Source organism: Homo sapiens, chromosome 16 (genome assembly GCF_000001405.40).
Source record: "Homo sapiens chromosome 16, GRCh38.p14 Primary Assembly".
Lineage (NCBI taxonomy): Eukaryota > Metazoa > Chordata > Mammalia > Primates > Hominidae > Homo > Homo sapiens.
In genome coordinates this window covers 22,384,867-22,409,951 of record NC_000016.10, presented here as the reverse complement: position 1 = coordinate 22,409,951, position 25,085 = coordinate 22,384,867, and the positions used below count along the sequence as shown (strand labels likewise).

The window sequence follows — 25,085 nt, the reverse complement described above, 5'->3', positions numbered from 1 at the left end:
AAGAAAACAAACAACTTGGTTTAAAAAAGGGCAAAAGACCTGAATAGACACCTTACCAAAGAAGATATACAGATAGCAAATAAGTATATGAAAAGATGCTCATATGTCATCAGGGAATTACAAATTTAAAACAATGACATACCACTACACACCTATTAGATGGGCCCAAACCCAAAAGATTGACAACATTAAATACTGGCATAAATATGGAGCAACAGGAACTCTCATTCATTGATGGTGGGAATGCAAAATAGTATAGCCACTTTGGAAGACAGTTTGGCAGTTTCCTACCAAAGCAAACATACTTTTACCATGTGATCCAGCCATCATGCTCCTTGGCATTTACGTAAATGAAATGAAATCTTATGTCTACACAAAAACCTGTACATAGATATTTACAGCAGATTTATTCATAACTGCCAAAATTTGGAAGCAACCAAGATGCTCTTCAGTAGGTGAATGGATAAACTGTGGGTCATCCAGACAATGGATATTATTCATCACTAAAAAGAAATGAGCTATCAAGGCATAAAAAGACCTACCAGAAACTTAAATTGCATATTATTAAGTGCAAGAAGCCTATATGAAAAGATAACATACTATATGATTTCAACTAGATAACATTTTAGAAAAGGCAAAACTATGGAGACAGTAAAAAGATCACTGGTTGCCAGGGGTCAGTGTGGAGGGAAGGATGAATAGGTAGAGCACAGGGGATATTTTGGGCAGTGAAACTATTCCTTATGATACTACAATCATAGATGCATGTCATTATACATTTGCCCAAACCCACAGAATGCACAACACAAAGAATGAACCATAATGTGAACTATGGAATTTGGGTTCTAATAATGTGTCAGTGTAGGTTCTTCGATTGTAACAAAGGTAACACTCTGGTGGGGGATGTTGACAATGGGGGAGGCTGTGCATGTGCGGGGACAGGGGTATATGGAAACTGTATACTTTCTGCTCAATTTCATTGTGAATCTAAAACTGCTTTGAAAAACAAAGTCTATTAAGTCAGTCAGTTAATCCTTCACTATTTCACCATCTCCTTCACCTTACGGTGAAATCAAAGTAACAAACAGGGCTGCAAGGCCCTATGCAATCTGGCCTCCTTCCCCATTCCTGCCTCCCTCCCTCCTGCTTACTTTGCTCCAGCCATGCTGGCCTCCTTGCCAGCCAGAATGCCAGGCACACTGCACCTCTGGGCCTTTGCACTTGCTGTGCTCTCTCCCAGGAACATTCTTCCCTGAGAGAGCCTCCCTGGTTCCCTGCCATCTTCCTTCAGGTCTTTATTCAAATGTCACCTTCTTCGTGAGGTCTTCCCCATCACTCTAATTAAAAATGCAGCTTTAGCTGTGCACAGTGGCTCACACCTGTAATCCTAGTGCTTTGGGAGGCCAAGGCAGGAGGATCGCTTGAGTCCAGGAGTTCAAGACAAGCCTGGGCAACACAGCGAGACCACGCCTCTCCTAAAAACTTTTAAAAATTAGCAGGGCATGGAGGCACGTGCCTGTAGTCCCAGCTGCTTAGGAGGCTGAGGCAGGAGATCACTTCAGCCTGGAAGTTCAAGGCTGCAGTGAGCTATGATCACACTACTACACACCAGCCTGGGCGACAGAGTGAGACCCTGTCTCTAAATTAAAAAAAAAAAAAAAAAATGCAGCTTCCCCCAACCCTTCCTATTTTCTTTCTTGCTTTGTTTCTTACCAGAGAGTTCATAACCATCTAACATACTATATATTTTACTTATTTCATTTCTTGGTCTGCCTCCCTCCCATTAGAATGTAAGCTCTGTGAGGGCAGAGATTTTTGCTGTTTTGTTTACTGCTACGCCTCACTGCCATATCACAGAGCTCAGCACTTGGTAGGATCTCAATATTTATTGGATGAATAAATGAATAGCTTATGGCAAGTTCACACATGCTTCCAGATATTTGCTGTGCTGTTTTCTTTACTTGGAATGACATTCCTCCATGTTCAGGAGAAAAATCCCACTCAGCCTCCAAAACTCAGCTGAAGAAACCCTCTTCTGTGAAGTACACTCTGACCGTAGGCAGACCAGGTAGGAATCTCTTCTCTGAATTACTGCAGTCCAATTATACTTCTGGTGGTCCCTTATCACAGTTTTGTGTAATCTGTATGGCCCCTTAGAAGGTTTGTATTCATCCTGTATTCAAAGGACTTTTGTACCTGGACTATAATCGCAGGTACTCAAAAGCATTTGTGAAATGAAATAGTAAATGAATGAATAACTCAGATAAAGTAATTAATATGTAGCTTAGTGTGAAGACATTTAGTATGTACATAATTTAAAGAAGATACTTAAAGATACTCCTATGAAAGTCCATTTGATACTAATACTTTTTATTATACCTTACTCAAGATACAAGTTAGTGACTAATAATATACAAAGGTCAAGATAATTGCTTAGTAATTAACGTAAAAGGCTGTGTTTGCTTTCATGTTTCTTTTACATTATTTCAAGAGCTTTTTTTTTTTTTTTTTTTTTTTACTTTACCTGCTATTTGTGTTTCCATATTCATACTGGTTTAGCCTAGAGAGTATCACCATGGGCGCTAAAGACTGGGCAGATTTGGTAAACAAAGCATTAATGCCAAAAACCACTGAAGGAAGGGGTGACCTGGAACAGACAAAAATAGCATGGGTCTATATCACATACGAACTACGTGTGTGTGTGTATATATATATATATATCCATATATACAATTTGAATCAGGAATCTCTTTGTGTATGAAGTCTTCCTTAATCCTAAGTAGACAACAATAAAAATAGTATAGTATTATAAAATATTAACCTTTTAGTTATAAAGGATTATAAAACTAGAAAAACCTAACTGTTTTTAAATTTTTTTTTATTTTACTTTAAGTTCTGGGATACATGTGCTGAACATGCAGGTTTGTTACGCAGGTATACATGTGCCATGGTGGGAAAAACTTAACTCTTTTTTTTTTTTTTTTTTTTTAGAGACAGGGTCTTGCCATGTTGCCCAGGTTGGTCTTGAACTCTTGGCCTCAAGCCATCCTCCCAACTTGGCCTCCCAAAAGTACTGGGATTATTATAGTCATGAGCCATGGCGCCCAGCCAGAACCTAACTTTTTTTTTTTTTTTTAAGACAGGGTCTCACTCTGTCTCCCAGGCTGGAGTGCAGTAGCACAATCTCAGCTTGCTGCAGCCTTGAACTTCCAGGCCCAAGCGATCCTCCCACCTCAGCCTCAGCTGGGACTGCTGGCATGCACCACCATGCCTGGCTAATTTTTGTATTTTTGGGCGGGATGGGGTCTCTCTACGTTTCCCAGGCTGGTCTCGATCTCCTGGACTCAAACGATCCTCCCACCCTGGCCTCCCAAAGTGTTGGGATTATAGGTGTGAGACACCATACCTAGCAGAACCTAACTCTTAGATGAAGAAACTAAGATCCAAAGGGAAGACACAGCTCACCTCTTACAGGCCTATGCAGTGAACGCTATTTGTGCCCTGTACTCTGTTATGGGCTCTTATTACTTCATCTAAATCCCATGACAATCCCATGAGTGAGATATTACCAGCTCTGTTTTAGAGATGGGAAAGCAGATTAACTCATCCACAGTCACACAGCTAGTAAATGGTAAAACTGGGATTCATGCCTAAGTTTTTTTGACCAAGTTTTATTAAGGACTACTTTAATGTATTCCTGATAAGAATCCTCCATATAACTTTTTTAAATAATCAGGTCACATAAAATAAATCAAGTGCATTGACTGAATAAACTGAAATCTTGTCACATATCAACTAATGATGGAAACCTTGCAACTCAGGAAGAGAAAAAAGAAAACAGGAAGGAGAAAAAAGAAGAAAGGGAGGGAAAAAAATAAAAGAGAGGCAAGGTCTGAGAATTAGAGGAAATTTAATTTGATGGTAAGAGCTTGGGTTTGATTGTCTGTTCTTCAGTCTGCTGGTTACATTAACCAGAACATTGGGAACATTAATTTCTGCAAGGTCTTAGTTTCTTGAAAATGGGGATAACTTTGATTGTCTGACAATACAATTGCTGTCTATCTCCCCAACTAGACTATAAGTACCACAAGGACAGAGGCTATGTCCGGTTTTGCTCACTGGTTTTTGTCTTCTCTGACATGATTAGTGAGACAGTTGGCTCAAGCAAAAAAATCATTTTTAAAAGAAGAGACAGTAACCATTCCATTTTAACTTAACTATACTCATTCATAAATCTTTTCTTTGGGTTTTTCGCTGAGTATATGTCCACTGATGAAAGTGCTGGGCCGGCTGGGCGCGGTGGCTCACGCCTGTAATCCCAGCACTTTGGGAGGCTGAGGCGGGTGGATCACGAGGTCAGGAGATCGAGAACATCCTGGCTAACATGGTGAAACCCCGTCTCTACTAAAAATACAAAAAATTAGCCGGGCATGGTGGCGGGCACCTGTAGTCCCAGCTACTTGGGAGGCTGAGGCAGGAGAATGGTGTGAACCCAGGAGGCGGAGCTTGCGGTGAGCAGAGATCGTGCCACTGCACTCCAGCCTGGGCCACAGAGCAAGACTCCATCTCAAAAAAAAAAAAAAAAAAGAAAAAAAAAAGAAAGTGCTGTGCCATCTTTCTTGTATAAACAGGATCCATATTACATGATAGACAGTTTCTACTGTCAATTATAAAGAGAACCTCAAGTCACTTATGAAGCAAACTCAGTACAAAATATCTTTAGACTTCTTTGACTTTCCCCTCAAAACATTTAGTTTCCACTGTATCAAACGTGATAGTAATTGTTTACAACTCAATTTTTTTCTCTTCTCCTTCTCCTTCTTCTTTTGTATGTTGCCTAGGCTGGTCTCAAACTTCTGGCCTTGAGCAATCCTCCTGTCTCAGCCTCTCAAAGTGCTGGGATTACAGGCGTGAGCCACAATGCTTGACCCTACAACTCAATATCGAGTCTTCCTAAAGCATTCAACTTAATTTTCATAAAAGTAACTTTCATTTCACGTATATATTTCCTGTTTATAAAATATAAGTACAATTAAATTTTGCAATTGCAGTAACAAGTACGTCTGACATTAAGAGATTTGAATTAAAAAACACTGACCCTTGGTAATGATACACTGAATCATGGGAGTAGAAAAGTACAGGTGTCCTCAAGAGTAGCCATTTGGTCACAAACCTACTGCGCACATGTGAATAAGTACATTTTAGAGCCATGGTCTCCAACCATTTTGGCACCAGGGACCAGTTTCATGGAAGACAATTTTTCCACGGACCAGGGGGGTTGGTTTTGAGATGATTCAAGTGCATTACATTTATTATGCACTTTATTTCTAATATTATTACAGACCGGTACTGGCCTGTAGCCTAGGGGTTGGAGACCCCTGTTTTAGAGAGAAGGAAGAGCATCAGATAACTTGGAGAGTTCATTACAAGACCCACTGTATTGAATCCTCAGCATTTACCACATTGCCTGACACAAAAGAATAAATCGATAAATATTTGTCAAGTCCATAATGTCTACCACTCAAGGCTGCTGCAAGACCTGAATGAGCAAACAGTCATACAAGCTCATTTGGACATTGGCATTTGGTAAATGTTAATGCCTTTCCCTTTCTCACTGTTCAAGACATTTTATTTATTTGTAACCTATCTAATTCAAAAGGAATTTGAAAGGTGAAAAATGTTTACTGAAGTTGTTGCTTGTTTATGTATTCATTCAACAGAAGGAGTTTTGAGCCAGTCAGTTTTCCAGGTACAAAGGAGACAAAAGTGAAGATAGCGCCCTGGACTGTAAGGAGCTCACCACCTTGCCTATCACCCCAAATATGAACTTAGCAACAAAACTCTGCAACAGGAAAGGAATTAGAGAAATCCAGGTAGCTGGCAAATCTTTCCTCAATTTAATTTGCATTAAAAATAAAAGAGGGGGCTGGGCGCCCTATTTTATTATTTGCATTAAAAATAAAAGTGGTTCACATCCATAATCCCAGCACTTTTGGGAGGCCAAGCAGAAGGATCGATTGAGACCAGGAGTTCAGGACTAGCTTTGGCAACATAGCGAGATCCTCATCTCTACAACATATATATATTTAAAAATTAGCTGGGCCTGGTAGTGTGCACCTATATAGTCCTAGCTACTCAGGAGACTGAGGCAGCAGGATCTCCTGAGCCCAGGAGTTTGAGGCTGAAATGAGCTATGATCACACCACCACACTTCAGCCTGAGCAACAGAGCAAGACCCTGTCTTGAAAACAAACAAACAAACAAAAGAGGTTTTGCAGCATAAATGTTTTGACAGAACTAATAAAGAATGTGCCTCTGTCTGGCCGGGCGCAGTAGCTCATGCCTGTAATCCCAGCACTTTGGGAGGCCAAGGTGGGTGGATCATCAGGTCAGGAGTTTGAGACCAGCCTGACCAACATGATGAAACCCCGTCTCTACTAAAAATACAAAAAAATTAGCCAGGCGTGGTAGCACGTGCCTGTAATCCCAGCTACTCAATCGCTTGAACCTGGGAGGCAGAGGTGGCAGTGAGCCAAGATTGCACCACTGTACTCCAGCCTGGGCGACAGAGCAAGACTCCATCTAAAAAAAAAAAAAAAAACAATGTGCCTCTGTCTTAAAATAATACATTTCTCTCTAATCTGCAAAATAGGACACGTATGAGAAAATATTTGCCAATCAAATACACTTTATAGCTGATCTAAAGTGCTTACAATCATACCAAAGAACAGAACCTCTCATCATCAGCTTAGGCTTTTTCAGCTAAGAAAGGATAAGATGGACCTTGATTTTTAATTTTAATTCTTGCAATGTCACAGAGTAAAGGTCATTTTACCTAATCGTCCCATGTAATAAAGCATATTGCCATATGTAGAACATACAGCTAACTGAGATTTCACTTTGCTTTCTGATATTTAACCCTGTTGTAATATTGGCTGTGTGAACCTGAGAAATGAAAAACTGTGATGTCGTTTTAGAAATGGGGAAAAGTTGCCCAGGGCAAACAAGCATGAATATATCTGATTATATTCTGTCCCCTGGTTCCTAGCAATGCCTCTTATGATTGTCTTTCAGATATGTGATTTGTAGTGGCAATATAACTGAGATATGGAGACTCTGATAGGTCCTGCCTACATGTGATATTTTTGTAGCTAACATTTGAAAAAGTATACTTACTGCTGATTAAACTTTAGTAAATCTGCATCAACCATGTCAGCTAGTGGCAGGGTAAACAAGGAAACCGAAGCTCACACGATAACCCTAGAAAAAATGTTAAAACACATATGAAAATTTTACAACTAGGAGGCACAGCTTTTGTTAAAAAAGAATAAAATGAAAGTTGACATTTGATTTGCAAGAAGATAAAAGGAAATGATATACTATAAAAGTAAAGCTATATTAGGCATACCCTTCTATCCTCCCAAATATTATATATCTATGAATATATAATTCTCTTTTAAAAGTGAAATAACTACTTTCACTTGGGAATTTTAAAAATGATTTTTATGCTTCTTCCTCATTCCAAATGACTAAACTCATTTAATCTGCTTAAATTATTAATAGATTCTAAAGGACAGGAAGTGCCAGGGAAATTAATCACACAGACATCTTTCTCTTGATATCAGAAATAGGATACATTAAGAACTGAGAAAGGGCATATAGCATTTTAATTATGATAGAAGAATAAAAATGAGGGGGATGGTTTAAGTGAAGAAAAAGCAAAAATATTCATTCTAAAAATTACTATAAACTATCATTTTACATATTATACAGCCAGGGCCACCCTTACAGACTTATAGAATAGTTATCTGCATGGGGTTCTAATGTCTTGAAGTTTCATAGGGATTCAATCATTTGAGTCAATTATTACAGTCTCCACTACCAGTTTGTTCAAAATGCAAATATGTCTTCATGAAAATTTTCTCAAGTTGTTCCAGCAGGGACCTGGAATAGAATGTATTAATTCATTCACTCAAAATGAGTGACTCATGCCTGTAATCCTACACTTTGGGAGGACGAGGTGGGTGGATCACTTGAAGTCAGGAGTTTAAGACCAGCCTGGCCAACATGGTGAAACCCCGTCTCTACTAAAAATACAAAAATTAGCCAGGCATGGTGGCTGGTGCCTGTAGTCCCAGCTACTCGGGAGGCTGAGGCAGGAGAATTGCTTGAACCTGGGAGGTGGAGGTTGCAGTGAGCCGAGATCACGCCACTGCACTCCTGGACAACAGAGTGAGACTCCATCTCAAATAAAACAAAAAACAAAAACAAAAACATTATCTTTTCTTTTCTTTTCTTTTTTGAGACAGGGACTCACTCTGTTGTCCAGGCTGGAGTGCAGTAGCATGATTTCAGCTCACTGCAGCCTCCACCTCTTGGGCTCAGGTGATCCTCCCACTTCAGCCTCCTGAATATCTGAGACTACAGGAGTGCACCACCACACCTGGCTAAATTTTTATTTTGTGTAGAGACAGGGTTTTGCCATGTTTCCCAGGCTGGTCTTGAACTCCTGGGCTCAAGTGATCCTCCCACCTCAGCCTCCCAAAGTGCTGGAAGTATAGGCATGAGCCACTGTGCCTGGCCCAAAACACATTTTCTAAGGACCAACTATTTGCAGGAACTGCAGTAGGTAATGGGCCGCAGTGGTAAGAGACTAGACCCTATTCACAATAAACTCAATCCAGTGGGGACTACAGATAGTCGCAGGTAGAGGAAAAGCACCACAGCAGAAGTAAGCATAGGGCACTGGAGTCATATAGGAGGGCCACCTAATCCAGATGAGGAAATCAGGGAAGGCTTCCCAGAGAAGCACATGCCCGAACTGTGGCCTAAGACACGTGAGGACAGGGCCAAGCAAGAAATGGGGAAGAGCTTTCCAGGCACAGGAAACTGCATCTTCTAGACACAGAGGTGTCTGAACCAGGAACTGCAAAGTATTTCTGTATGGCAGAGAGTACAGTGTAAGTTGAGGAGTAACAAGAAATGAAGATGAAGGCTGGGCACAGTGGCTCACACCTGTAATCCCAGCACTTTGGGATGCCAAGGTGAGCAGATCGCTTGAGCCCAGGAGTTCAACACCAGCCTGGGCAACATGGCAAAAACCCATCTCTACAAAAAATAAAAATTAAGCTGGGCATGGTAGTACACATCTGTAGTCCCAGCTATTTAGGAGGATGAGGTGGGAGGATCACCTGAGCCTGGGAGGTGGAGGTTAGAGTGGGCCATATTTGTGCCACTGTACTCTAGCCTGGGCAACAGAGCAAGACCCTGTCTCAGAAAAAAAAAAAAAAAGAAATGAAGACGAAAAGATAAAGAGGGACTATATAACAAGACATCATAATGTCATCATTTCGAAATACCCTGAAAGCAATAAGAAGCCACTTAAGATTATTAAAGGTACTTGGGAGGCTGAGGTAGGAGAATCGTGTGAACCCGGGAGGCGGAGCTTGCAGTGAGCCAAGATCGTGCCACTGCACTCCAGCCTGGGCGACACAGTGAGATTCCATCTCAAAAAAAAAAAAAAGATTATTAAGCAAAGGAAGAGCATGTTATTCTAGAAGCAATATGAGAGAGGGAGTTGGAGAGACTGGAGACTATAAACTAGGGGATCATATGGGAAGACTGTATCCTATTCCATGTAAGAAATGAGCTATAGGAATGTCAGTGGAACTGAGAAGAGATGGATTCAGGGCACATTAGGGAGATAAAACTGCTAACAATTAACAGTGTGTTGGACCTAGGTGTCAAAGAAGAGAGAAAAGGCAAAGACAACTTCTCGGTCTCTGACTTGGGCAACCAGATAGATGGCAAAGCCATTTCCCGAGATGGCAAATAATGGCAAAAGAGCAGATTTGGCAGCAAGATCTTTGATTTGGACCTGCAGAATTTGACATGCCTGTGATGGAGGCAAAGTGGGTGCTTGGGGGAGGAGGAGAGGTTGCAGAAATAGGAGGAAGAGTTGAAGGAGAAATAGAAGCTCAGTGTCTTTTATACGTGGCAGCAGTATTTACTAAATATATTTTTGAGACAGGGTCTCACTCTTGTCACCTAGGCTGGATGGAGTGCAGTGGTGCAGTCGTAGCTCACTATGACTTGAATTCGTGGGCTCAAGTATGATCCTCCTGCCTCAGCCACTAGAGTAGCTGGGACTACAGGCATGTGCCACCAAAAAATTTTTTAATTTTTTATAGAGATGCGGTCTTACTCTGTTGCCCAGGCTAGTCTCAAACTCTTGGCCTTAAGCAATCCTCCAACCTTAGCCTTCCAAGTAAATTTTTTAATAGGTTAAAAAAAAGTAAGTTTACTACAAAATTTAATGTATGAAATTCCTTCATAAAACAAGCCATTAACATTCAGACAATTTGTCAAAAAGGTACAATGACCTTGCCTAGAAATGAATATTAAACTCAGTCCGGATCAAAAATGTGTCACTGCTTGAAAGGGCAAATAGTAAAATTTAGTGTAATTTTGAGACTGGAACCAGCATTTACTTACATGATAATAGTGAGATAAAGAGCCAAACAGTAATAGTATTGCTTTCCCAGGAGTAACATTACAATGGAGGCTGTTCCTTCTACATAGAAAGAAATTAAGATGATCTTATGGTAATCAAACTTTTTCAGCCAGGACTGACTGATAAGTACAAGGCACTGAAATGGAAACAGAATGGCATTGTGTTAAGATGGAACTCCACGCATTATTAAGCTTACTTACTCTTGCTGATGACAAAATAAACATTCTTATTGCAAAATAAATTGCTGGCCAGGTGTGGTGGCTGATGCCTATAATCCCAACACTTTGGAAGGCCAAGGTAGAAGGATCACTTGAGCCCAGGAGTTCATGACCATCCTGGGCAACATGGTGAAATTCTATCTCTACAAATAATACAAAAATTAGCTAGGTGTGGTGATGTACAGCTGTAGTCCCAGCTACTAGGGAGGCTCAGGTTGGAGTACTGCTTCAGCCCAGGAGGTTGAGGCTATAATGATCTATGATCACACCCACTGCACCCCAACCTGAGTGACAGAGCAAGACCCTGTCTCAAAAAATATGTAATAAATAAATAAATTTGCTTCTGAATTATAGTGTCAATTGAAACACACAATTAAAACTATCTTGCTTAGATATGCCATTATTATCCATATATACCAAAAATTGATTATGAATGGTAACTTTTTTTTTTTTTTGAGACAGAGTCTCAAATCTGTCATCCAGGTTGAAGTGCAGTGGCATGATCTTAGCTTACTGCAAACTTTGCCTCCCAGGTTCAAGCAATTCTCATGCCTCAGCATCCTGAATAGCTGGGATGACAGGCAAGCACCACTGTGCCTGGCTAACTTTTGTATTTTTAGTAGAGACAGTGTTTCACCATGTTGGCCAGGCTGGTCTCAAACTCGGGCTCAAGTGATCTGTCTGCCTCGGCCTCCCAAAATGTTAGGATTACAGGCGTGAGCCACCACATCTTGCCTGAAATGTACTTTTTACCCTAAAATCAAGCATCAGGGTAAACAAGAGTTAGCATTCCTTGCTAACTGTGCCCTGCCTAACTTTATATGTTTTTATCATTATAACAGATTCATTTTAAGAGCTCAGACTTAGGTTTTTTGCATTTCTTGCTATCAGTGAAAAAGTTCATTGTTCTAGACTGAAAAGTTTATGCTAAATATACATATGTACATTAACAAAGATCAGAAGATACTCTTTGTTTTCAATAAAAAAGCACACATTGTTTATCCCTGATAAGTTTTCACTAACCAAAAGTATGTGCATTATAGTTAGAAGAGAATTTTGAATGATGTAAGTAGAATACAGATGTTCTTTAATAAACATAAGGGTTTTTTTTACCCTGACTGATTTTTTGACTGACTTTTCTACTTTCAAGGAACAAGAGTTCATTTTCTGGATACTAAAAAACAATGGATCAGTGATTGATGTGGTCCAAGGCATTTCTTAGAGTTCTGTAAGAGGAAGTATATAAAATACCCCAACAAGTCCAATTATATTCTTAAATATTATTATAATATTATAAAGGAACACATTTCCACATATTGAAATGCAGCTGCTGTTTCTCCATCTCTAGTACATAAACATACAAAATACAAGAAGTTAATAATGTAAGAAATATGTGGTAGAGTGGAATGTGCAAGATTTTTTTTACAGACAAGGTCTTACTATGCTGCCCAGCCTGGTCTCAAATTTCTGGGCTCAAGCAATCATCCCAAGTAGCTGACCACAGGCATGCACCACCACGTCTGGCTAAAAAGTGAAAGATTTTGAAATCAGATGTCCCTAGGTTTAAATTCCAGCTTTGCCACTTTTACCAGCTATTTCTTCACAGACAAGTTACTTTACCTAAGAGGCATTTCCCCCACCAAGACAAACTTTCTCTCTCTCTCTCTCTCTCTCTCTCTCACTCTTGCTCTCTTCCATTTCTCTTCTCTTACCTAGCACCATACTCAACATATAAGGCACTTAATAATTGGTAGCTATTTTTCTTGTGTCCAATATATAAAAAGATATAAGCCAATGATGAGTAGTATCACAAAAATCATGAAAGAAAAGAGAAAGACCGCCTTTTTTTTTTTTTTTAACTAAAATAAAGCCTTCTACAGATGAAAGATTTTGGCTCCCCATTCAACAGTGTGTTCCAACATAAGTGTTGGCAAACCTGTGGCAAAGGAGCCTACATCAAGACAGAGGGATAAAGGCAGTGCTGTGCTCACAGTGAAAGTCTAATAGATACCTGCTGCACTGAGTTGGCTGTACATAATAAGAGCTAACATTTCTAGAGGGTTTATTTTGTGCCAGGAACCGTTTTAAGTACTTTGGATGTTTTAATTCATTTAACCCTCATAATAATTTCCTTAGGTAGGCACTATTTTTTTGTTGTTTTTTAAGACAGGGTCTTGCTCTGTCACCCAGGCTGGAGTGCAGTGGCACAATCACGGCTCCCTGCAGCTTTGACCTCCTGGGCTCAAGCGATTTTCCCACCTCAGCCTCCCAAGTAGCTGGGACTCCAGGTGTGTGCCACTATGTCTGGCTATTTTTTTAAATTTTTTATAGAGACAGGGTCTCGCTATGTTGCCCAGGGTGGTCTTAAACTCCTGGGCTCAAGTGACCCTCCCACCTTAGCCTCCCAAAGTACTGGGAGCCATTGTGCCCAGACCAGTAGGTACTATTTTGATCCTCATTTTACAGATGAGGAAACTAAGGCACAGAGAGGTTGAGTAACTTACCTAGGATTGCACAGCTAGTAAGTGGAGAGCCAGGCTCCTCCTGGGCAGACTGCAGATCCATGCTCTTAACCCAGTTACTCCTCTGCCTCTCTGGGGAGTGTAATATGGAAGAGTGACAGACCTATACCAACAGTTATTAGGGAGACAGAGTATTTATTCATCCTTTTCTCCTTTATTTATTCAACTCCTCAAAAAGAAAACCAGCCTGAGGGCTGGGTGCGGTGGCTCACGCCTGTAATCCCAGCACTTTGGAAGGCCGAGGCAGGTGGATCACTTGAGGTCAGTAGTTGGGAGACGAGCCTGGCCAACATGGTGAAACCCCATTTCTACTAAAAATACAAAAATTAGCCAGGCATGGTGGCACATGCCCGTAATCCCAGCTACTTGGGAGGTTGAGGCAGGAGAATTGCTTGAATCTGGGAGGCGGAGATTGCAGTGAGCTGAGACCATGCCATCACACTCCAGCCTGGGTGGCAGAGCGAGACTGTCTCAAGAAAAAGAGAGAGAGAGAGAGAGAGAGAGACTGTCTCAAGAAAAAGAGAGAGAGAGAAAGAAAAGAAAGAAAGAAAAGGAAAGAAAAGGTAAGAAAGAAAGAAAAGGAAAGAAAGAAAGAAGAAAGAAAGAAAGAAAGAAGAAAGAAAGAAAGAAAGAGGAAGGGAGAAAGGGAGGGAGGGAGGACGGAGAGAGAAAGAGAAAATGAAAACATAGTGCTCACCCTTCATTATTTTATCCAATAAAGTGTTAAAGAGACTTAGCCAAATGAATAACAAGAACAACAGATTCCAATGAGCTGTCATTATTTTTTTTTTTTGTCTGAGGCAGAGTCTGTCACCCAGGCTGGAGTGCAGTGGCACCGTCTCGGCTAACTGCAACCTCCACCTCCCAGGTTCAAGTAATTCTCTGCCTCAGCCTCCCAACTAGCTGGGATTACTGACACCCACCACCACGCCCGGCTAATTTTTTGTATTTTTAGTAGAGACAGTGTTTCACCATCTTGGCAGGCTGGTCTTGAACTCCTGACCTCATGATCCACCCACCTCAGCCTCCCAAAGTGCTGGGATTACAGGCGTGAGCCACCACGCCTGGCCAAGCTGTCATTTTTTACCACAATAATTTACACGTGTTAATTCTCTAGAAATTAAGAATAAATTTCAAGCAACTTTGGATTTTCTTTTATTTTTTGTAGAGACAGGGTTTCGCTGTGTTGCCCAGGCTGGTCCCAAACTCCTGGCTTCAAGCAATCCTCCTGCCTCAGCCTCCCAAAGTGCTGGAATTACAGGTGTTAGCCATTGGGCCAGACCTGGATTTCCATTTTATAATAATTTTTTATTGAGATCAATAGAAAGTCCTATGTTTTTGTGAGGGCTTAAGAAAAATGACTGTTAAAATCTTTTGGCTATACTTCTCTTAACAACTAGTAACCAAGAGAGACTAAGAGAAAGTATTTACTGATCATATATCTGACAAAAGACATGTGCCTAGAATATACAAATAACTCCTACAACTCAATAATATGAAGACTAATTACTCAATTTAAAAAGACACAAATTATTTTAATAAATAACCAAAAAGATACATGGATGGCAAGTAAGCATATGAAAAGATGCTCAACATCATTAGTAGTCATTAGGAAAATGTAAATCAAAAACACAGTAAGATACTACATACCGGCCAGGCGTGGTGGCTCACGCCTGTAATCCCAGCACTTTGGGAGGCCGAGGCAGGCGGATCACGAGGTCAGGAGATCGAGACCATCCTGGCTAACATGGTGAAACCCCATCTCTAATAAAAATACAAAAAATTAGCCAGGCGTGGTGGCGGGAGCCTGTAGTCTCAGCTACTCGAGAGGCTGAGGCAGGAGAATGGCATGAACCCAGGAGGCGGAGCTTGCAGTGAGCCGAGATTGCGCCATTGCACTCCAGCCTGGGCGACAGAATGAGACTCTGTCTCAAACAAAAAAAGGAAAAAAAAAGTAAAGAGAAAGGTAAACATCTACCTTCCATACAACCCAGCCATTCTACTCCTAGGTATTTACTCAAGAGCAAGGAAAGCATATATCCATACAAAGACACAAAATGCTCATAGCTTTATTTGTAACAGCCAAAAACCAGATCCAACCCAAATGTCCATCAAGAGATGAAAGAAGGAAGTCCTGGCCAGAGCAATCAAGCAAAAGAAAGAAAGAAATTACATCCAAATAGGAAGAGAAGAAGTCAAACTATCTGTCTTTGGTGACAATATGATTCTATACATAGAAAACCCTAAAGACTCCACCAAAGGACTCCTGGAACTGATAAATGACTTCAGTAAAGTTTCAGGATACAAAATCAATGTACAAAAATCTGTGGCATTTCTTTACATGAATAATGTTCAAGCTGAGAACCAAATCAAGAATGCGATCCTATTTACAGTAGCCACAGAAAAAATTAACATACCTAGGAATTCATCTCACCAAGGAGGTGAAAGATCTCTACAAGGAGAACTATAAAACACTGCTGAAAAAAATCATATATGACACAAATGGAAAAACATTCCATGCTCATGGATTGGAAGAATCAATATTGTTACAATGTCCATACTGCCCACAGCAATCTACAGATTCAATGCTATTCCTATCAAACTACCAACATCATTTTTCACAGAGTTAGAATAAACTATTTGCAATTTCATATGGAACCAAAAAGAGCCCAAATAGCAAAGCAAGCCTAAGCAAAGAGAACAAAGCCAGTGACATTACCTGACTTCAAATCGTACTATAAGGCTACAGTAACCAAAACAGCATGGTACTGGTACAAAAACAGCCACATAGACCAATGGAACAGAACAGAGAACTGAGAAATAAAGCTGTACTCTTGCAGCCATCTGATCTTCAATAAAATCAACAAAAATAAGCAATGGGGAAAGGATTCCTTATTCAATAAATGGTGCTGGGATAGCTGGCTAGCCATATGCAGAAGACTGAAACTGCACCTTTCACCACATATAAAAATTAACTCAAGATGGATTAAAGATTTGAATGTAAGACTTCAAACTATAAGAATCCTAAAAGAAAACCTAGGAAACACCATTCTGGACATCAACCTTGGGAAATAATTTATTGCTAAATCCTTAGAAGCAATTGCAACAAAAACAAAAATTGACAAGTGGGACCTAATTAAACCAAAGAGCTTATGCACAGCAAAAGAAATTATCAACAGAGTAGGCAGACAACCTATAGAATGGGAGAAAATACTTGCAAACTATGCACCTGACAAAGGTCTAATATCCAGAATCTATAAGGAACCTAAGCAATTGACCAAGCAATAAACAAACAACTGCATTAAAAAGTGGGCAAAAGACATGAACAGATACATCTCAAAAAAAGACATAAGCAGCCAATCATGAAAAAATGCTCAACATCACTAATCATCAGAGAACTGCAAATCAAAACCACAATGAGATACCATCTCACACTAATCAGAATGGCTATTGCTAAAAGTAAAAAAAAAAAAACCAACAGACAGATAGACTGCAGAGAAAAGGGAACACTTATACGCTGTTGATGGCAATGTAAATTAGTTCAACCACTGTGGAAAGCAGTTTGGAGATTTCTCAAACTACCTAACACAGAACTACCACTTGACCCAGCAATCCCATTACTGGGTTTATATCCAAAAGGAAATAAATTGCTCTACCAAAAAGACACATACACTCTCCTGTTCATTGTAGCACTATTTACAATAGTGAAGACATGGAATCAGCCTAGGTGCCCACCAACGGTGGACTGGGTAAACAAAATGTGGCACATATACACCATGGACTATCACATAGCCATAAAAAGAATGAAATCATGTCCTTTGCAGCAACATGGATGCAGCTGGAGGCCATTATCCAAAGCAAATTAACACAGGAACAGACAAGCTAATACCACATGTTCTCTCTTATAAGTGGGAGATAAGCATTGGGTACTCATGGCAAAAAGATGGCAACAATAGACACTGGGGAATACTAGAAAGGCAGGGGGCAAGGGTTAAAAAACTAACTATTGGGTGCTATGTTCACTACCTGAGTGACAGGATCAATCATACCCCAAACCTCAACATCACACAATGCGCCCACATAACAAACCTGCACATATATTCCCTGAATCTAAAATAAAAGTTGAAATGATAAAAAACGTGGGCGGAGGGGGAGGAATTATTTAAAAAAAAAAAAAAAAGCAAATTGTGGTATACCCACATAATAGAATACTACTTGGCAATAAAAAGGAATTAAATATGGATACTCACAACATGACCAAAAGAATCCAGACCAAAAAATAGTACATTACTGTATGATTCCACTTATATAAAAACCTATAAAATGTAAACAAATCTATACTGATAGAAAGTAGCTCGACAGTTGCCTGAGAATTAGGGAGGTTAGGGAAGGGTGGAAGGAAGGGATTAACAAAGAAGCAGAAAGGCACTTTGGGGAATAATAGATACGTTAACCATCTTAATTGTGGTGATGGTTTCATGGTGTGTACATATGCTGGAATGTATCAAACTATACAGTTTAAATACATGCAGTTTTTTTTGTAGGTCAATCATACTGCAATAAAGCTACAAGAAAAATCCTGCCTTTCTTTCAACTCTTAAATTTTTCCAAATATTAAATAAAGCATGAAAAACAAAAACAGAAGCTTATATTAAAACCTGTTAATGACCAGGCACAGTGGCTCATACCTGTAATCCCAGCACTTTGGGAGGCTGAGGCAGGAAGATTGCTTGAGACCAGGAGTTCAAAACCAGCCTGAGCAATATAGCGAGACTCCATCTTTACCAAGAAATTAAGTCAGCCAGGCATGGTGGTGTATGCCTGTAATCCTAGCTACTCAGTAACCTGAGGTGGGAGGATTCCTTGAGCCCAGGAGTTTGAGGCTGCAGTGAGCTATGATCATGCCACTACACTCTAGCCTGGGGGACAGAGTGAGACCTTGTCTCTAAAAGATTAAAAAAAAAAAAAAAAGGCCAGGCATGGTGGCTCACACCTGTAATCTCAGCACTTAGGGAGGCCGAGGCGGGTGGATCACTTGAGGTCAAGAGTTCAAGACCAGCCTGGCCAACATGGTGAAACCCCATATCTACTAAAAATACAAAAATTAGCTGGGCTTGGTGGTGCATGCCTGTAGTCCCAGCTACTCGGGAGGCTGAGGTAGGAGAATCGCTTGAACCTGGGAGGCGGAGGTTGCTGTGAGCCGAGATCACGCCACTGCACTCCAGCCTGGGAGACAGAGTGAGACTCCATCTCAATAAATCAATAATAAATAAACAAATAAATACTTGTGAATAAATTTAACAAAAGAAGGGGAAAATTATAAAATATTGAAAGAAATTTCTAAACATCTAAATAGATGGAAAAACATCCCATGTTCATGGATCAGAAGATTTAACATCATTAATATGGCAATACTACTCAAGCTGATCTACAAATTCAGTGCAATCCCTATCAGTATTCCAGCTGACTTATTTGTAGAAATTGACAAACTGATTCTAAAATGTATATAGATTTGCAAGAGACTCAGAATAGCCAAGTCAATCTTGAAAAAGAAGAACGAGGCTGGGTGCAGTGGTTCACGACTATAATCCTACCACTTTGGGAGGCCAAGACAGGAGGATCACTTGAGACCAGGAGTTTGAGGTCAACCTGGGCAACATAGTGATGCCCCATCTCTACAAAAAATAATTTTTAAAAATTAGCTGGGAGTGGTGGCGCATGCCTGTAGTCCCAGCTACTCAGGAGGCTGAGGTGGGAGGATTGGTTCAGCTGAGGATGTCGAGGCTACAGTGAGCAGTGTAGGTCAAGGCGACACTGAACTCCATCCTGGGCAACAGACTGAAACTCTTGTTTCAAAAAAAATTAAATTAAATAAAAAAGAAAAAGAAGAATAAAGTAGGAAGACTCATACTTCTCAATCTCATCAAGAAAGAAAGTGAAAAGACAACCCACAGGAGAAAAATTTTGCAAACAATATCTGATAACAGATTGCATCAAACATATATTAATATGAAGAACTATTACAACTCGAGTATTAGTAAACTAAATAAAAAGACAACCTAATTATTAAAAACTGGGCAAATGGGCTGAATAGACATTTCTCTCTTTTACTTTATTTCTTTCTTTCTTTTGAGACAGTCTTACTCTGTCACCCAGGCTGGAGTGCAGTGGCATGATCTCGGCTCACTGCAACTTCCACCTCCAGGGTTCAAGGAATTCTCCCTGCCTCAGCCACCCGAGTAGCTGGGATTACAGGAGCCCACCACCACGCCCAGCTAATTTTTGTATTTTTTAGTAGAGATGGGGTTTCGCCATGTTGGCCAGGCTGGTCTTGAACTCCTGACCTCCAGTGATCCACCCGCCTCAGTCTCCTAAAGTGCTGGGATTACAGGCTTGAGCCACCGCGCCTGGCCTGAATAGACATTTCTCTAAAGAACATATACAAATGACCAACAGCATATAAAAAGATGCACAACATCATTAACTATCAGGCAAATGCAAATCAAAACTACAATGAGATGTCATTCACACACACTAGGATGGCTATAATCAAAAACACAGATAATAACAAGTATTGGTGAGGATTTGGAAAAACTGGACCCGTTGTACATTATTGGTAGGAATGTAAAATAGTGCACCAATTGTGGAAAATGGTCTGTCAGTATCGCAAAATGTGAAACATAGAGTTACTATGTGAGACACAACTATTCCGCTCCTGGATATATGCCCAAAAGAAATGAAAATATATATCTGTGCAAAAATCCTGTACATTAATGTTCATGGCAGCATTACTTGTTAATAGTCAAAAAGCAGAAACAACCCAAATGCTCATCAACTGAGGAGTGGATAAACAAAATGTGTTATAGCCATATGATGACTTATTAAGTTATTAAAAGGAATGAAGTACTCATACTACAATCTTAAAAACATGCTAAGTGTACATCAAATTACATCTAGTGTAAAAAAAATGCTAAGTGAAGGAAGCTGGTCACAAAAGACCACATATTATATGATTCAATTTATATGAAAGTCTAGAACAAGCAAATCCATAGAGACAAAATGTAGACTGATGGTAACCAAGGGATGAGGGGAAAGTGCAATGAGATTGTACTTTCAAGAATTTCAACTCCTCAAAAATTGACTAGTTCTTTTCAAAATGATAAAAATGTTCTAAAAATGATTGTAGTGCTGGTTGCTCAACTCCATGAATATATTAAAATTTGTTGAATTGTATGTTTTAAATGAGGTATGGTATGTGAATCATTTCAACAAAACTGTTTTTAAAAAATCTACCTTTGCTGGTTGTTCTTGAGCTGAGTTAAGAGAAAAAAAATCTACTTTTTTTTTTTTTTTTTTTTGAGACAGAGATCTCACTCTGCCACCCAGGCTGGTCTGCCGCCCAGGCTGGAGTGCAGTGGTACGATCTCGGCTCACTGCAAGCTCCGCCTCCCAGGTTCATGCCATTCTCCTGCCTCAGCCTCCAGAGTAGCTGGGACTACAGGCGCCCGCCACCATGCTCGGCTAATTTTTTGTATTTTTAGTAGAGACGGGGTTTCACCGTGTTAGCCAGGATGGTCTCAATCTCCTGACCTCGTGATCCGCCCGCCTCGGCCTCCCAAAGTGCTGGGATTAAAGGCGTGAGCCACTGCGCCCAGCCTACTCTTTGTCTTTACACGAGAGTTTTTGTTTGTTGGTTTTGAGACAAACAGGGTCTCACTCTGTTGCCCGTGCTGGAGTGTATAAGTGTGATTTCGGCTCACTGCAGCCTTGTCCTCCCCAGGCTCAGGTGATCCTCCTACCTCAGCCTCCTGAATAGCTGGGACTACAGGAGCACACCAGTATGTCTGGCTAATTTTTGTATATTTTGTAGAGACAGGGTTTCGCCATGTTGCCCAGACCAGTCTTGAACTCCTGGGCTTAAGCAATCTGCCTGCCTCGTCCTCCCAAAAAGCCAGGATTACAGGCATGAGCCACCACACCCAGGCTTACATAAGAGTTTAACAATTTTTTTTTTAACCTGGTGAAGAGGATAAACTATAGGCAAGTATTATACATGATTTAAAGTAAGAAAGCATATATAGCCTAGAATATGATAGCAAATAATAAGCAGAGACAGGAACTCAAACAGCTTCCCATTCTGGGTGGTTAAACAGAGGAGCAAACAAACTTCAAATTGCTTTGAAAGGAGAGCATCATTTTATCATGCATACACAGTACATGGACTATACTGATAAGCCAGACATGAAATTCCATTTGATATACTCTGCTAAATAAATGATGCAAGCACAGTACATTTTAGAGACAGAATCTTAAAGTACACAGCTCTAAAGGTACCATCTCCCTTTTCTCGTCTGTAAGAATAAGAATCTCTTCCTCCAAGATTGTTATGAGGATCACGTCAGGTAATGTACACAATGCACTTGGCAATGGTCCATGGCACAGGGTAAACACTCAAAACTGTGGATTACCATTATTATGGCACATACAGTAATTATAAAGACATTGGGATAATAGCAGACAGGCAAATTCTATTCTATATACTTTGCTTAAGAAATTGTGGTGGGCCGGACACTGTGGCTCATGCCTGCAATCCCAACACTTTGGGAAGCCAAGGTGGGAGGACTGCTTGACACCAGGAGTTCAAGACCAACCTGGGCAACATGGCTGGTCTTGAAAAACACTGTCTCTACAAAAAATAAAAAACTTAGCTGGGCATGGTGGTGCACGCCTGTGATCCCAGCTACTCAGGAGGCAGAGGTAGGAGGAAAGCTTGAGCCCAGGAGATCAAGGCTGCAGTGAGCCATGATTGTGCCACTGCACGCCAGCCTGGGTGACAGGGCATGACACTGTCTCTAAAAAAATAAAGAGATAGGCCGGGCGTGGTGGCTCACACCTGTAATCGTAGCACTTTGGGAGGCCAAGCTGGGCAGATCACGAGGTCAGGAGGTTGAGACCATCCTGGCAAACACAGTGAAACCCCATCTCTACTAAAAATACAAAGAAATTAGCTGGGCGTGGTGGCGGGCGCCTGTAGTCCCAGCTACTCGGGAGGCTGAGGCAGGAGAATGGCATGAACCCGGGGGGCGGAACTTGCAGTGAGCCGAGATTGCGCCACTGCACTCCAGCCTGGGCGACAGAGCGAGACTTCATCTCTAAATAAATAAATAAATAAATAAATAGAAATAAAGAAATTGTGGCAACACTTAAAACATTTTAGAACTATTTCTATCCCAAATGGCTTAACGATTTTTGAAAGCTGGTAAACAGTAAAAACTAGTCTATCTAGAATAACCTCTTCCCTGAAGAGTATTGCTAAGATGTTTTGCTTATCATTTGTGAAAACAGGAAAAACCTTTATCATAGGCAAGATAAAGTCATATTTTTAGAGGACATATTTAGGTTAAGGGGAACAACATATCAGCTCTCCAAATGGTATAAGCAGCAGACCAGTATATTTTTTTAAGAGGACATGACCTCTACAATAATGATCATGACCATGGAATTTTAATAGTGCTCTGAAATTCCAGGACTCAGGCTTTTAGCCAAGTGTTTTGAAACTTGATCAACTAACTGTTCTTCCATGTGATGGTCACAGAAGTCTTAAACACCCAAATAAAGCAAAACGACACGCTCACAGGAAGCTGTTTTCTTCCATAGTTCTGCTGAGGCTTAAAGGAGAAAGCTGAGAGGAACAAAATTCCACAGCAAAAATGTTTAAAATATCACATTATTCGGTTCTCATTGGGGACTCTTTCCTTTTTTCCTTTTGTCTCTTTTTTTTTTTTTTTTTTTTGAGATGGAGTCTTACTCTGTCACCCAGGCTGGAGTACGGTGGTGCGATCTCAGCTCACTGCAACCTCCGCCTCCTGGGTTCAAGCGATTATCCTGCCTCAGCCTCCTGAGTAGCTGGGATTACAGGTGCCCGCAACCAAGCCCGGCTAATTTTTGTATTTTTAGTAGAGACAAGGTTTCACCATGTTGGCCAGGCTGGTCTCGAACTCCTGACCTCTAGTGATCCACCCGCCTCGGCCTCCCAAAGTGCTGGGATTATAGGCATGGGCCAGTGGGCTTGACCTTGTCTCTTTTTTCCATTATGTTTCTACTGAATCTTGTATGATATGTGGAGCTCTGAATCTATGGGTCTTTTAATAACTGTGTGTCGGCCAGGTGCGGTGGCTCATGCCTGAAATCCCAGCACTCTGGGAGGCCGAGGCAGGCTGATCACGAGGTCAGGAGTTTGAGACCAGCCTGAACAACATGGTGAAACCCCGTCTCTACCAAAAATACAAAAGTTAGCCAGGTGTGGTGTCGTGCACCTATAATCCCAGCTACTCAGGAGGCTGAGGCAGGAGAATTGCTTGAACCTGGGAGGGCGAGGGTTGCAGTGAGCCGAGATCACACCACTGCACTCCATCTTGGGTGACAGAGCAAGACTGTCTCAAACAAACAAACAAAAAAAAACTGTGTGTCACTTTTTCAAACTACTGATGAAATCAGGTTTCTAATATCATCATCCAGCTAAGAGTTAAATCTCTAATCCCTGCAGGAAAAATTATCACAAATTATAAATCATAGAGAACATAAGTATAATAATTATAATAATAGTAAATAACATAAAGAACTATTACATACCTGTGGGCAAATAAAGCCTGCCCCGTACATAATGCTCCTTATAGAAGAAGATAGTACATCTCTGGGAATGAGAATATCTGCAAAGATCATCATGAAGTTGCTGAAAAAGGTTAAATTAAAGACTTGAAAGAAATTCATGATCAGAAAAAGGTAAAAGTATTTCTGGGGCAAGATCTATCTCACGGATAAAATGACAGGAGTCCAGGCGAGATTCTGTTTAGATTCCAAGAGGAGGTTCTCTTTGGGGCTTCTTTTAGGTTTGAAACGCCTCACGTGATACATCCCAGCGTAAAGGCTGGCAGCAGCAAGGAAAGCAATGACGATGGCAACAGCCTGGAAATGGGGCAAAATTTCCATGTTATTAGAGATCAGGCCATAGAAAAGGATACTGGTAGAGCCCACAAGTGATGCCACTTGGTTAATTTTAATAAGCTGAAGCCGACTTTCATGTCTAGTGAAAATCTCTGCAAACAGTTTACATTGGGCTTGTTGGACACAGGTGGGCATGCTATCAAATGCACATAATGATACCACCAGGTGAAGTCCACTAAGCCAGTCACCTTCTTGATAGTATTTCCAAGGGAACCACGGGAGCAGGAAGGCTGCTGCATAGAAAGGGACACAGTACAAGACAGAAATATGATGACTTGAACAGCATTTGGCTTTAGAGTTGTTGGGAAAATATCCAGTCAGGTCATTAAGAACATTCCATATCATTAAAATTATTTAGGAAGAAAAAAACACACAGGATGTTTCAGTGTAGTAGAACAAATTACTGCCCTCAGTACAAGACAAAAATGACCCCTGATTTTTTTTTTTTTACTTACGTGAAGTAACCGAAGGTGATCAGTAGAAAAGCTCATTGTTTTCAGAACTACTTAAAAATTTAATAACAGCAAATACTACTCAAAAGCCAATGTGCATTCACTTTGTTTTTTTTTTTTTTTTTTTTTTAGACGGAGTCTTGCTCTGTCGCCAGCCCAGAGTGCAGCGGCACGATCTCGGCTCACTGCAACCTCCACCTCCCGGGTTCAAGTGATTCTCCTGCCTCAGCCTCCCAAGTAGCTGGGACTACAGGCACGCACCACCACGCCCAAATAATTTTTGTATTTTTAGTAGAGACGGGGTTTCACCATGTTGGCCAGGATGATCTTGATCTCTTGACCTCGTGATCTGCCGGCTTCGGCCTCCCAAAGTGCT

The 25,085-nt window shown here is 40.7% G+C and overlaps 1 pseudogene across 1 annotated transcript; it reads right to left on the bottom strand.

The window, feature by feature from the left end:
- Positions 1-2,353: 2,353 nt before the first annotated feature.
- SLC68A2P (solute carrier family 68 member 2, pseudogene) lies at positions 2,354-24,183 on the bottom strand (annotated as a pseudogene). The gene is made up of 4 exons (NR_136333.1): positions 23,886-24,183; positions 10,495-10,649; positions 7,177-7,260; positions 2,354-2,647 (listed from the first exon to the last, which is right to left on the bottom strand). The product of NR_136333.1 is annotated as a solute carrier family 68 member 2, pseudogene (transcript).
- Positions 24,184-25,085: the final 902 nt, after the last annotated feature.